Source organism: Homo sapiens, chromosome 20 (genome assembly GCF_000001405.40).
Source record: "Homo sapiens chromosome 20, GRCh38.p14 Primary Assembly".
Classification (NCBI taxonomy): Eukaryota; Metazoa; Chordata; class Mammalia; order Primates; family Hominidae; genus Homo; species Homo sapiens.
Window position 1 is genome coordinate 35,839,486 of NC_000020.11, and position 13,780 is coordinate 35,853,265.

At 43.6% G+C, this 13,780-nt stretch overlaps 1 protein-coding gene and 1 pseudogene across 7 annotated transcripts in view; one reads left to right on the top strand and one right to left on the bottom strand.

Moving 5' to 3' along the window:
• Positions 1-13,780, top strand: part of PHF20 (PHD finger protein 20) — a 178,356-nt gene that overhangs the window by 67,471 nt on the left and 97,105 nt on the right. For 5 of the 7 annotated variants that reach the window (XM_047440180.1, NM_016436.5, XM_047440181.1 and 2 more), the window contains 2 exons: positions 3,088-3,259; positions 7,865-7,949. In XM_047440180.1, the coding sequence (XP_047296136.1) occupies positions 3,088-3,259; positions 7,865-7,949 (257 nt within the window). Of the gene's footprint in view, positions 1-3,087; positions 3,260-7,864; positions 7,950-13,780 lie in introns of those variants that run through there. The other 2 variants (XM_047440183.1, XM_017027868.3) reach the window with 2 other exon arrangements.
• On the bottom strand, positions 11,016-11,473 carry COX7BP2 (COX7B pseudogene 2; annotated as a pseudogene).

The window sequence follows — 13,780 nt, forward strand, 5'->3', positions numbered from 1 at the left end:
GAATGAATGAGAGGGTAAGAGATATATAATTGCCATATTGATGTCCTTCTCCCCATTTTACAGAGAGGAGTGGATTTAGGGAATCCTCTCTTGTCTCCTACAATTGTACTATTTCATTTGTCAGATCAGACAATTAGCCAGTCTGTTGTCAAGATATCTTGTATTTATAGCAGCTGTCATTTGGATTGGAGTAGGAAGACTAGTTTCAGGGCTGTTTATGTCTTTTGTTAATATTTTTGAGCAAGTAAGGTATGCATAGTAGCAATTAGGAATTATGGAAAACATACCCTTCCAGTCCTCTGTGAGGAATACACACATGAAGTGATGGGGGCCTGAACTTGAGGAGTGAAATTGGAATAGGTTGCTGGAGTCTGAGAATGTTGGAATTTAAAAACTGACAGAATACATGACCTTTGGGAAGAATAAGAGGAGTGGAATTCATTTGCTAAACATTTATTGAGTACCTAGTATGTGCAAAGTACTGCAATAAGTTAATGCCAAGCAAACTGCCTTAGAGGGTGCTAGTGTGGGTTGAAAAGTACACAGTATACAGACACAAGAAAGCAGGCCTGTTCATTTAGGTAGGTAGCATGTGTTTATTAGGACAGCACTGTACTAGGTGCTGGATATAAGAAAGGAAGGAAGTGGTACAAACCAGGTTGCAGGGAGAAAATACAGATAGAATGTAAACTTTTTCAGTCTAGAATAGCTATTTGATTAATACAAGTGTTTTCAGAGAAAAACTGCATACAATATTTTTCTTTATTTTTAACCGTTTATTTTTTGGAATGAGCAATACCTTTATATAGTTGAAATAAAAAGGTATTATAAGGTATACTGCAAAAAGTCTCCCTCCTATTTTTGCCCCTTCCCACCTCTTATCCAGATACCTCTCTTGTGTCAGGAATAAATGCTGGAAACAGAAACCAGCCCGAGTATTTTAACCACAAAAGGATTTAACGTGGGGAATTGGGTACTTTTAAAGTTGTTGGAAGGGCTGGAAGAGTGGGACTCAAGGAGGCTGCCCTTAGGGTATCATCTTGAAAGGCCCACAATCGTAGCTGTGATCTGGTCAGGAAGTCACTACTGGCACTGCCATCTGCACCACTGCTGCTTGACATGCATGAAACTGATGATTAGACATTAGGCTCTGGCTTATTGCAGACCAGCAGCAGCAGCAGCAGCAGCAACATCTGGGAGCTTGTGAGAGCTCTTAGGCCCCAGCTTGGCATACTGAATCAGAATCTTCATTTCAACAGGATACCTTGATGATTTACATGTGTGTGGAAGCTTGATAGGCCTTGTACTGGACCTGGCCACTAACCCAAGGGTCTTTATGACCTTGGCCACCAATTGTAAGGAAGTCAGGGAAATGTAGTTGTTGATTTTCCTAACTCTCAGTCTAGAAAGAAGGTTGAATGGAGGTTGAAAGAAACCATCTACTGAACTGACCACACTTTTCCACAAGTAACCTTTGTTGTTTCTTGGGCATCCTTCCAGATACTTTATGCATATATAAGCATATGTGAATACATATCCTTTTTTCTCCTCTTTAAAAAGTAAGTCAGGTGTGGTAGCTCATGCCTGTAATTCCAGCATTTGGGGAGGCTGAGCCAGGATCTGCTATCCTGGGCAGATAGCTTGAGCCCAGGAGTTTGAGACCAGCCTGGGCAACGTAACAGAACTCCATCTCTACAAAAAATACAAAAATTAGCACTGTATGGTGGTGTGTGCCTGTAGTCTCAACTACTTGGGAGGCTGAGGCTGGAGGGACACGAGCTGGGGAGAGGGAGGTTGCAGTGAGCCGAGATCACGCCACTGTACTTCGGCCTGGGTGACAGAGTGAGACCCTGTCTCAATCAATCAATCAATCAATCAAAATAAAACGAAACAATAGCTTAGCATATACAGTGTTCTGAATCATATAACTGTATATCTTAGAAGAGCTTTCCATATCTTGACAGATAAAATCATCTTGTTCTTTTTAATAACCGCGTAGTATAAGGCTGGGCACGGTGGCTCATGCCTGTAATGCTAGCACTTTGGGAGGCTGAGGTGGGCGGATCATGAGGTCAAGAGATCGAGACCATCCTGGCCAACATGGTGAAATCCCGTTTCTACTAAAAATACAAAAATTAGCTGGGTGTGGTGGCACGTACCTGTAGTCCCAGATACTCAGGAAGCTGAGGCAGGAGAATCACTTGAATCAGGGAGGTGGAGGTTGCAGAGAGCTGAGATCGCGCCACTGCCCTCCAGCATAGCGACAGAGCGAGACCCTGTCTCAAAAAAACAAACAAACAACAACCAAAAAAACTGCACAGTATTCCATTATATTGCTTATAAATGCTTAAAATTGAGACTGTCTGATACAGTCTGGGTTGCATGGTCATTCTGATTTATTGGCACATGTAAAATCTAATCTAGTTGTTAAATCCTTAATGTTTTCTTCCTGCCTCTTGTGTGCTCAAGTCTTCTGTGTATGTCATCTTGTTTAATCCACACTACAACCCAGTGTGCTTCTTCCACTTTACATGAGGGAACTCAGGCTCTGAAAGTTTAATTTAATGGTTCATAAACTGGCCGGGCACAGTGGTTCACCCTTGTAATCTCAGCACTCTGGGAGGTTGAGGCGGGCAGATCACCTAAGGTCGGGAGTTCGAGACCAGCCTGGCCAACATGGCGAAACCCCATCTCTACTAAAAATACAAAAATTAGCTGGGCATGGTGGCGGGCGCTGTAATCCCCGCTACTCGGGAGGCTGAGGCAGGGAGAATTGCTTGAACCCAGGAGGTTGCGGTGAGCCAAGATCACACCACTGCACTCCAGCCTGGGTGACAGAGCGAGACTCTGTCTCAAAAATAAAATAAAATAAAATAGTTCATAAACTAAGGAATATGCAGGTTAGGATTTGGACCTCAAGTCTGTTACCCTCCATAATTTGTGATTTGACCCAACTACACAGAGTCTCTAAACGGTAGGCCTGGTAACCTTCTCCTTTGGGAAGAGGTTTGGAAATGTACCATTATGGATATTTGGATATTTGGGGTGGGTATTAAAGGAATGCCAATTTTTTTTTTTCTGACTCAGGTATCCAGCTCACATAGAAGACATTGACTACGAGGAAGGAAAAGTACTCATCCATTTCAAGCGTTGGAACCATCGTTATGATGAGTGGTTCTGCTGGGACAGTCCTTATTTACGCCCTTTAGAGAAAATACAGCTGAGGAAAGAGGGCTTGCATGAAGAGGATGGATCTTCTGTGAGTAACAAATCTGGGAAGTTCTGTAGTATGCAAGGTCAGCCATTGGGCTGTTTGTGTTTCAATCTTTGATGTTAGTAGCAGCTGGAGACCAGTTCTTATTTAGGCCTATAGTTGTAACCCTGAGATCTCTATGACACCTGGGGCTCTTGAAGAATCCCAATTTTGTTTGTTTGTTTTTTGAGACGGAGTCTCGCTGTGTTGCCCAGGCTGGAGTGCAGTGGTGCAGTCTCTGCTCACTGCAGTCTCCACCTCTCGGGTTCAAGCGATTCTCGTGCCTCAGCCTCCCTAGTAGCTGGGATTACAGGTGCCCACCCTGGCTAATTTTTGTATTTTTAGTAGAGATGGGGTTTTGCCATCTTGGCCAGGCTGGTCTCAAACTCCTGACCAATTTTACGGCATTGTATCCCTAACTTCTAGAACACTGCCTGGCACATTGTAGATCTTCTGATCTTTTGTTAAGCTGTCTGGTCTTTTGTTAAGTGATCATTCTGGCCAGGCGTGGTGGCTCACACCTGTAATCCCAGCACTTTGGGAGGCGGAGACAGGCAAATCACAAGATCGGGAGTTTGAGACCAGCCTGGCCAACATGGTGAAACCCCACCTCTACTAAAAATACAAAAAATTAGCTGGATATAGTGGCGGGCGCCTGTAATACCAGCTACTCGGGAGGCTGAGGCAGGAGAATCGCTTGAACCCAGGAGGCGGAGGTTGCAGTGAGCCAAGATGATCATGCCACTCCACTCCAGCCCGGGTGACAGAGTGATATTCCATCTCAAAAAAAAAAAAAAAAAAAAAAGTGATCATTCCATGTAGAACGTTGTACTAAGTCTCATATGCAAGGTCTTCTTCTTTTGAGACAGGGTCTTGCTCTGTTGCCCAGACGGGAATGCAGTGGTGCAATCATGGCTCACTGCAGCCTCAATCTCCCAGGCTCAAGCGATCTTTCCACTTCAACTTCCCAAGTAGCTGGGACCACGGGCCCACCACACCCGGCTAATTTTTAAATTTTTTTATAGAGACAGTGTCTCGTATTGTTGCCCAGGCTGGTCTTGAACTCCGGGCTCAAGTGATCCTCCCGCCTTGGTCTCCCACAGTGCTAGGATTATAGGTGTAAGCTCGTCCTGCAGAGTCTTTTATAAGCCCTTAAAGAACTTGGAATTGATTGGACTGTATTCCATTTTTCTAAATTTTATCTCTATGCCTGGAGCTTTTACTGACTTCAAAATGCAGTATGAAGTATTAGTTTTAAGGTTTTTTTGTTTTGTTTTGTTTTAAGCAGTGAAAGCACAGATTTATTGAAATGAAAGTACACTCCACAGAGTGGGAGCGGGCTCAAGCAAGTAGCTCAAGAGCCGTTTTTTTGGTTTGTTTTTGAGACGGGGTCTTGCTCTGTTGCTCAGGCTGGAGTGCAGTGGCTCGATCTCACCTCACTGCAACCTCCATCTCCTGGGTTCAAGCGATTCCCCTGCCTTATCCTCCTGAGTAGCTGGGACTACAGGTGCGTGCCACCACACCTGGCTAATTTTTTGTATTTTTAGTACAGATGGGGTTTCACTGTGTTAGCCATGATGGTCTCGATTTCCTGACCTCGTGATCCGCCTGCCTCGGCCTCTCAAAGTCCTGGCATTACAGGTGTGAGCCACCGCGCCCAGCCGGTTTTTTTTTTTTGGTTTTTTTTTTTTTTGATAATGTTGTCCAGCTTTATTTTTGCTTTCTTGCCAAAGATTTGTCAAGCTCCTCACTCTGTCATTATAAAATTCCCACCCTGAGAATCTCCCATTTTTCTTCACCATCACCACACACACACACACACACACACACACACACACACACACACACACACAGGCTGAAACAATAAAATATAAAGTTCATCCTAAGAAGAAGATATCGAGTCCAAAGAGGGTTATCAACTTTAGAAAAGAAGCAAAGAAATCATAAAATAATGATATTTTAAGATTACAGATTAAGCCCTAATTTAGAATATTTTTAGAAATTTTATCATATTAAAACAAGGGTGAAGGCACTATAGACTCTTGTTTTTTAACTAACTTTATTTAAATTAGCTATACCCATTTTAAGTGTATGATTTCATAAGTTTTGTGTAATAAGCTTAAATTTAATAAGCATTTAAATTTGTGATATAAAAATCACCCATTTTAAACTGTATAGTTTAATAAGTTTTGCAAATTTATATTGTCAGATAGCCACTGCCATATGATACACAATATTTTCATTATGACAAAAAGAAGCTCTCCCTCAAATTGCTTTTCATTCAGTCTTCACCAGCCAGTCCTGGACCAGTTCTGGACCCTGGCTTGCCACTGATCTATCTATTTTCTGTTTATAGTCCTATTTTTGTTTGGTTTTTCATTTGAAATAAAATCATACTGTATGTAACATTTCGGGTCTGACTTACTTCAATTAGCATATCTTTTGAAGCTTCATTTATGGTGTTTTTTTTTTCTGTTCCTGTAATAACAGTTTGTTTTATTTTTTTAATTTTATTTATTAATTTTTTTATTATACTTTAAGTTCTAGGGTACATGTGCACAATGTGCAGGTTTGTTACATATGTATACGTGTGCCATGTTGGTGTGCTGCACCCATTAACTCATCTTTTTTTGTTTTTTTTTAAAGAGACGTTTTCTTGCTCTGTCGCCCAGTCTGAAGTGCAGTGGTGCAGTCTTGGCTTAATGTAGCCTTGACCTCTTGGGCTCAAGCAATCCTCCTTCCTCAGCCTCCTGAGTACCTGGGACTATAGGCATGTACCACTGTGCCTGACTAATTAAAAAATTTTTTTTGTAGAGACAAGGTCTTATTATGTTGCCCAGGCTGGTCTTGAACTCCTGGCCTTAAGGGATCTTTCTGCCAAAGAAGGAAGATCCTTCGTACCTCCCAAAGTCCTGGGATTATAGGCGTGTGCCCTTGTGCCTGGCTAGTTTTAAGGTTTTTAAACAGGCATTGAGACATCTATAATGGTCCTGCTGCTTTTGGATCTGACTCAGACTCAGCCCTGCCTTCTATTTTTCTTTCTTTTTTTTTTTTTTTTTGAGGCAGTCTTACTGTATGGCCGAGGCTGGAGTGCAGTGGCATGATCTTGACTCACTGCAACCTGTCTTTCGGGTTCAAGTGATTCTCGAGTCTTAGCTTTCTGAGTAGCTTGGACTACAGACGCATCCAACCACACCTGGCTAATGTTTGTATTTTTAGTAGAGGTGGGAGTTCATCATGTTGGCCAGACTCCTGGCCTCAGGTGATCCACCTTCCCCAGCCTCCCAAAGTGCTGGGATTACAGGCACGAGCCACTGTGTCCGGCTTATTTTCTGTTTTAACCCTATTAGGGAACTTGAACTATTGCTGGCCTTTTTTTTCTTTTTCCCAATTAAGGATTATTCAGTATTGTTCCATTTGACTTTTCAGTGTTCATTCTACAAATTTTTTTTTTTTTTTGAGACAGAGTCTCACTGTATCACCCAGCCTGGAGTGCAATGGCGCAATCTCGGCTCACTGCAACCTCCACCTCCTGGGTTCAAGTGATTCTCCTGCCTCAGCCATCGAGAAGCTGGGATTACAGGTGGCCGCCACCACACAGGCTAATTTTTGTATTTTTAGTAGAGACGGGGTTTCACCATGTTGGCCAGGCTGATCTCAGGTGATCTGCCCACCTTGACCTCCCAGAGTGCTGGGATTACAGGTGTGAGCCACTGCACCTGGCCCATTGTACAAAATTTATCAGTGCAAACTGTGTGCTGGGAAAAGAGTATAAAATATTAAAGGTGAATGGTTGCTTTCCCTGGCAAAAGACCCTTTAGAAGTGTAGATGGCATTAAATGCTGCTTCCCTGAGTATGAAGTAGCCTCATATCTTCTGACTCCTATACTGGATGTGTATTCTAGTAGTCCTGGCCTCTTAGACTCATTTTCAGAATGTATGCTGGTTAGGGTGGAATTATCATCAGTGCTGTTCTGTGCCTGCCCAGACCTCTTGGGCTTATTGAGGTCTTGTGTCCCAGCCCTTTTGTTTTGACTCCTGTCTTAGTCTTTTCTGTGTTGCTATAATAGAATACCTGAGACTAGGTAATTTATAAAGAAAAGAGGTTTGTTTAGCTCACAATTCTGCAGGCTGGGAAGTTCAAGTGCATGGTACTGGCTTCTGGCATCAGCTTTCATGCTGTGTCATACATGGTGGAAGGTCAAAAAGGGAGACAAGTGTGAAGAGAGGGACCAAACAGAAGGAGACTTGCTTTGTAACAACTTGCTTTCTTGGGAATGAATCCATTCCCAGGAGAGCGAGAAGTCACTCCTGTGAGACAGCATTAATCTATTCATGAGGGATCTGCTACCATGACCCAAACACCTCTCATAGGCCCCATTTTCAACACTGCTGCACTGAAAACGTTTACTTTTGGTGAGGACAAATGACACCGAAATTATAGCAACTCCTAGTGTTGAACAACAGAAATATCTTCCTCCATCTCAACAGCTACTTTCCCTTCACACTTTCTTATCAATCCCAGCTTCTTTTATGAGATCTGGTATGTCCTGTATGTCCTGTGAAATTAGGTTGGTAACAGGATCTTTTTTTTTTTTTTATGTTTTTTAGGAATTTCAAATAAATGAGCAGGTCCTTGCTTGCTGGTCTGATTGTCGTTTTTACCCGGCCAAAGTCACTGCTGTTAACAAGGATGGTAAGGCATTTGAGTTGTAGTTGTTTTTACTCATGACTTAGGTGGTGGGGGGGGATGTTTGTAATATCAGAGCTTGATAGTATATTTTCAGTATTTATTTACTGCCTAGGTATCCGCTTTATTCAAGTTAATCACTATGTCAGGAGTTGGGTAGAAATTATAAGTGTAAAGAAAACTGGACAAAAAAGATAGTTTGACTTTTTACCCCCTGAATTTCAGTCATTGTTTTCTAAAACAGTCACAGTTCATCTGTCACTCTGCCTGGAAGTATGCAGGTACTTGCTGTCTAGGAGTTCCTAATATAATTGATGACATAGTCCTGAATATTTGTGAATAGCTTAGAAATTAAATGAACACTAACAAACTTTAAAAAATGTGCTTTCTAGATGCAAGGTGACTGAGGGTGGTCTGTAACATTGGAGTTGCTAGTGGAAACTGGGATGCCGGAATTTAGAGCACTGAGTTGGGTTTCATTTGCCAGAGTTGAACATGTGAAGAGACAGGATGGGGAACTTGACTAATAGAGGCTCAATTTTGCTAGTAAAAGGGCAGACAAAGAGTTATGAGGATAATATGTACGGTCAGGATCCTGGCACCTGGAGAATAGAGTCTGGGTCCCAGTGATACCATTGTAAGCACATTCCACTAGGGTGTGTGTGGTCTCCATGATCTCTGAAGTGAGTGTTTAGGGAAGTCAGGCCTCTTGATGCCACTGTAGGGTTGACTATTAGGCCAGCCTGACTTTTCATTTGATGAAGTTATTCAGATATTTATTAATACTCTGCTAACTGCTGGGCCTCAGGCTGACCAAGTTTTGTCTGAGAATGATTTTTTTTTTCTTGTTCTTTTTTGGGACAGAGTCTTGCTCTGTTGCCCAGGCTGGAGTGCAGTGGTGCCAGCTCAGCTCACTGCAACCTCCATCTCCTGAGTTCAAGCGATTCTCCTGCCTCAGCCTCCCGAGTAGCTGGGATTACCAACGTGCACCACGGTCAGCTAAATTTTGTATTTTTAGTAGAGACGGGGTTTCGCTATGTTGGCCAGGCTGGTCTCATGTGATCCACCCACCTCGGCCTCCCAAAGTTTTGGGATTATAAGCGTGAGCCACCATGCCCAGCCGCAACTTTTTAGAAAAGTATTTTTCAGGCCAAACACGATGGTTCTTGCCTGTAATCCCAGCAGTTTGGGAGGCTCTCGTGGGAGGATCACTTGAGGCCAGGAATTTGAGACCAGCCTGGGCAACATAGTGAGACCTCATCTCACTATGAAAAAAAAATTAGATGAGTGTGGTGACATGTTCCTGTAGTCCTAGCTACTCGCATGGCTGAGGTGGGAAGATCCCTTGAGCCCAGGAGTTTGAGGCTACAGCAAGCTATGATAGTGTCATTGTACTCCAGCCTGGGCAGCAGAACGAGACTCTGTCTCTTAAAAAAAAAAAAAAAAAGTCTTTTCAGTTGTGCTTCCTCCATAAGCTAAAATTATAGGAGGGAGAGTCTCGAGGCTATGATAGTTCCTAAAATGGTCATTTGCAACGCTAATATCTTGTTTCTGAAGCTCCATATTCTGTCCAGTGAAATTTAGTTAATTGAAGGACATGAAAATGAATGGAAATTTCTGCCAAAACCTGTTGTCCTGAGGTTCTTGGGTCTGAAGTCCTGTATTATGCTGACACATTGACTGGTTTTTGGGACTAACTGGAAGAGGGAGGAGAGGATATGGGAGAGGGGCAATCCTGAAACAGAAAGTTAGTGGGGCAGGCTGGGTAGTACTATTGGCCACCCAGATTGTGAAGGAAAGCTAGCCTTTGTAGGAGCTCAGATCTATGTCTGATTCAGAGATGAAGATAATTAATGCCTCTAAGAGGGGTGGGAAGGTGTCTTGGTGGAGGCAATGAAGGCTTAGTAATCTACTGTTTAGATCTAATACCTGCAGAGCCCAGAGCTTGGCATCATGAAGTAAAACAAAAGAAGACCTGCTTCAAAGTAGAATGAAGTAGGTGCTGAAATAGAGCTACCAGGAGGAGGCAGGGCAGGATGGTGCAGGTTAATCATGGTAGGCACCTGTCTCTATAAGGTTTTGTGTTTGTGTGTGGGATGGATCAGAAACTCTTTGAAATAATGATTTCAAAAATGATTAGGTTTGGATTAGAGCTGATGGTCAGTTTGTGCTTCATCACGATTCACTGTGGGATTACTTGTGGGATTGGGAGCGACAATGCTAGTCTCTCTTTTCACTCTTTCCTTGGTATTTTCTGCTGTGCCTCAGGTTCATTCGTAGCAGTGGCCACCAGCTTAATGGCCCTGCGAGGAGAAGCTCTGCCGGCAAGGCGGCCCCTTTATTTCCTGTAAATGTCACTTATGTCTTGTTGGTGCTGCCAGGAGGAGGCAGGGGATATAGTGAAGTCATGCCTTGTAGATTTATCTTTAGAAGGCTTGGTCTGATTTTCTTGCCACTCTTAATCTCCTTGGATGTTTTGCTAAAGCTGAGTGTTGAGCAGGCTGGTGGGTGGGGACTGTAGCCAGAGTGTGGAAGTGGCAGCTGCTGGCACTGAGGAGTCTGGCATGATTGAATCAGAACTAAATAACAACTTTAGTTTCTTAAGGAAGTCTGTTAGCACTCGGAAAATAGGGCATATAATGCCATATTATTTAGCTTTTTTCACCTGGAGTGGTTCTTCAGCAGTGGAGATTAAGCATTATTTAGTACGAAGGCAGCGGCAGTTGGTAGCCTTGTTAGACCCTCAGTCTGTGTTGTTACAAAAGACAGTAAAAGATGGGTTTCTACTTTCAGGGAATCTTTGTTTGGAAGCCATCTCTGGTGAGCTGACCTCACCTCTTTGCTGGGGCTGCTTAGCTTCCCCCTCCGTTTTTTTTTTTTTTTTTTTTTTTTTTTTTGGTGACAGAATCTTGCTCTGTTGTCCAGGCTGGAGTGCAGTGGCACAATCTCTGCTCACTGCAACCTCCACCTCCTGGGTTCAAGCAATTCTCCTGCCTCAGCCTCCTGAGCAGCTGGGACTACAGGCACATGCCACACCACACCTGGCTAATTTATATATATATATATATTTTTAAGGTTTCAAATGTACTTTATTTCTTCATTAATGCCATATCTTAATGGGTACACAGTGCTTTAACTTGGCATCAATTATGAGCTGTTTTTTTTTTTTTTTTTTTTTTTTTTTTTGAGACGGAGTCTCTATGAGCTGTTTTTTAAACAATTCATTATTACATCAGCTGGTATGATTACTGTTCTCTCCATTTTGGGGGGTGACTCTGCCAACAGGGGATGGGTTCCATTCTATTCCAATTTGTGTTGTTATATATGTCCACATAGCAATACAGAAAGTGGGTCCACTAGCTAATACAGTATTACCATATTTGTTATGAAAATCAGGTGTATGTTTCTGGTGGCTCTGCCTTGCCATTGTTTGCTGAATGCTTCGAACTTGGAGATGACTGAGTTTGTTTTTGACCAAGGGAAACATCGTGAAGGTGAAGATAGAACTGCAGCAATGAAGCTGCTGCTTTAATTTTTGCATTTGTAGGAGAGACAGAGTTTCACTGTATTGGCCAGGCTGGTCTGGAACTCCTGACCTCAAATGATCCACCCGCCTCAGCCTCCCGAATCTCCCCTTTTTTTCACACAAGGATTAGCAGAGTCAGTTGTCTGTCAGGGCTTTTTGCCCCCAGTAGTGTACAACTCTGCTCTGTAAGTGATTTTCTTTAAGGAAACTACTGTGTAGGTTAGCATTTATGACAAAATGGGGAATTGGTCCTTTCTGTTGATCTGTGGTTCTTTAACTTGAATGAGCAGGTAAATCAGCTCCTTCTTCCTAAAAAATATGCATATTTTTGGGTCATGTCCCCTACCTACCCTGCCAGTTCAGTCTCTGGGGCAGTGACTGAAGTCTGCATTTATAACAGGAGATGCTATGGAAATGATCTTGTTTCTAGAGTCTCTGGCTGAAGCAGCTCTTATTTTTTGTTTTCTTCATGCTGTAACTGATTCTACATTTGAAATGTGGGGAGGCTGATACTGTGTGAACAGCTTTGTAGAAAGAGAAAAGGAAGATTTAGGCCCACACGTGCAGGTGCTAGCTTGGCTGTTTTCTTCTATTGGGGGAAGAGGGATTGTGCTTCCCCCCCAACCCCCACCCCGCCCCTTTTTTTTTGCCTAGATAGCCTTTAACGATGTCAATGTCTGGCCAGGCGCAGTGGCTTATGCCTGTAATCCCAGCACTTTGAGGGGCCGGGGCAGCGGATTACCTGAGGTCAGGAGTTCAAGACCAGCCTGGCCAGCATGGTGAAACCTAGTATCTACTAAAAATAGAAAAATTAACCTGGCGTGGTAGCATGTGCCTGTAGTCCCAGCTACTCGGGAGGCTGAGACAGAAGAATCGCTTGAACTCAGGAGGCAGAAGTTGCAGTGAGCTGAGATTGCACCATACTGCACTCTAGCCTGGGTGACAGAGCGAGACTCCGTCTCCAAAAAAAAAAAAAAGATGTCAATGTGCTGTGCTTCCCTTTTAGGGTGACTTGGTGGTATTGATCCCTTGGTCTGTGACAGGCCCTGTGCTAGGTTGTTTCCATATCTTATCGTATTTAGTCTTTACACAAACATGGAAAGGTTATTGCCATTAACCCCATTCTTATTTTGCAGATGAGGAACTAAGCTCACAGGGGGAAACTGCTTGAGGTTATAAAGCGCTTGGATGGTAGAGCTGAGATCTGCATGGAGGTCTGTGGTTCTACAGAGTCCCTAAACTGTCGTTCCCACAGTACCAGGCTGCCTCTTTGGAGCAGGGTTTTCCTAAGAGGGCAGGTGTTGTCAATTAGGTCCAGGTGTTCACTGATAGAATGCGAGAGTGGATGTAGTGGTCTGCACTTTCTGGAGCCGGTGTTGTCTTGAGAACCATGGTTGGGAGACAGGGTCTGGTCCCAGCTCCTGCTCAGTGATTATGGGCGGTTCACTGCCTTTGCTCTGGACTCTTTTGAGCAGTTAGAAGTCAAAGAGGGAGTGGGAATAGATGAGTGTTGTATTGGCCACAGAACCTAAACCCAAAATGTAAAATTGCTAAGAAGAAAATACTTAGAGGGAGGGGAAGGCATGCCCACAAACATATGCACATCCCCACCCCTCAATCTGTGGAAGCCTAAGGACTTCAAGAAAACTTTTTTTTTTTTTTGAGACGGAGTCTCCCTCTGTTGCCCATGCTGGAGTGCAGTGGCTCGATCTCAGCTCACTGCAACCTCCGCCTCCTGGGTTCAAGTGATTCTCCTGTGTCAGCCTCCCGAGTAGCTGGGATTACAGGTGTGTGCCACCACGCCTGGCTAATATTTGCATTTTTAGTAGAGACGGGGTTTCACCGTGTTGGTTAGGCTGGTCTTGAACTCCTGACCTCATGATCCACCCGCGTCGGTCTCCCAAAGTATTGGAATTACAGGCGTGAGCCACCGTGCCCGACCTGACTAATCTTTTTTTCCTTTTTTTTTTTTTCTAAAAAGGGCCAGTCCAGGCGTGGTGGCTGACGCCTGTAATCCCAGCACTTTTGGAGGTCGAGGCAGGTGGATCACCTGAGGTCAGGAGTTCAAGACCAGCCTGTCCAACATGGTGAAACCCGTCTCTACTAAAAATACAAAAAGTAGCTGGGCTTGGTGGCGCGCACCTGTAATCTCAGCTACTCGGGAGGCTGAGGCAGGAGAATCACTTGAATCCAGGAGGCGGAGGTTGCAGTGAGCCAAGGTCGAGCCACTGCACTCCAGCCTGGGCAACAGAGCAAGACTCGTCTCAAAAAAAAAAAAAAAAGAAAGAAAAAAAAAGAAAAGACTAGTTGA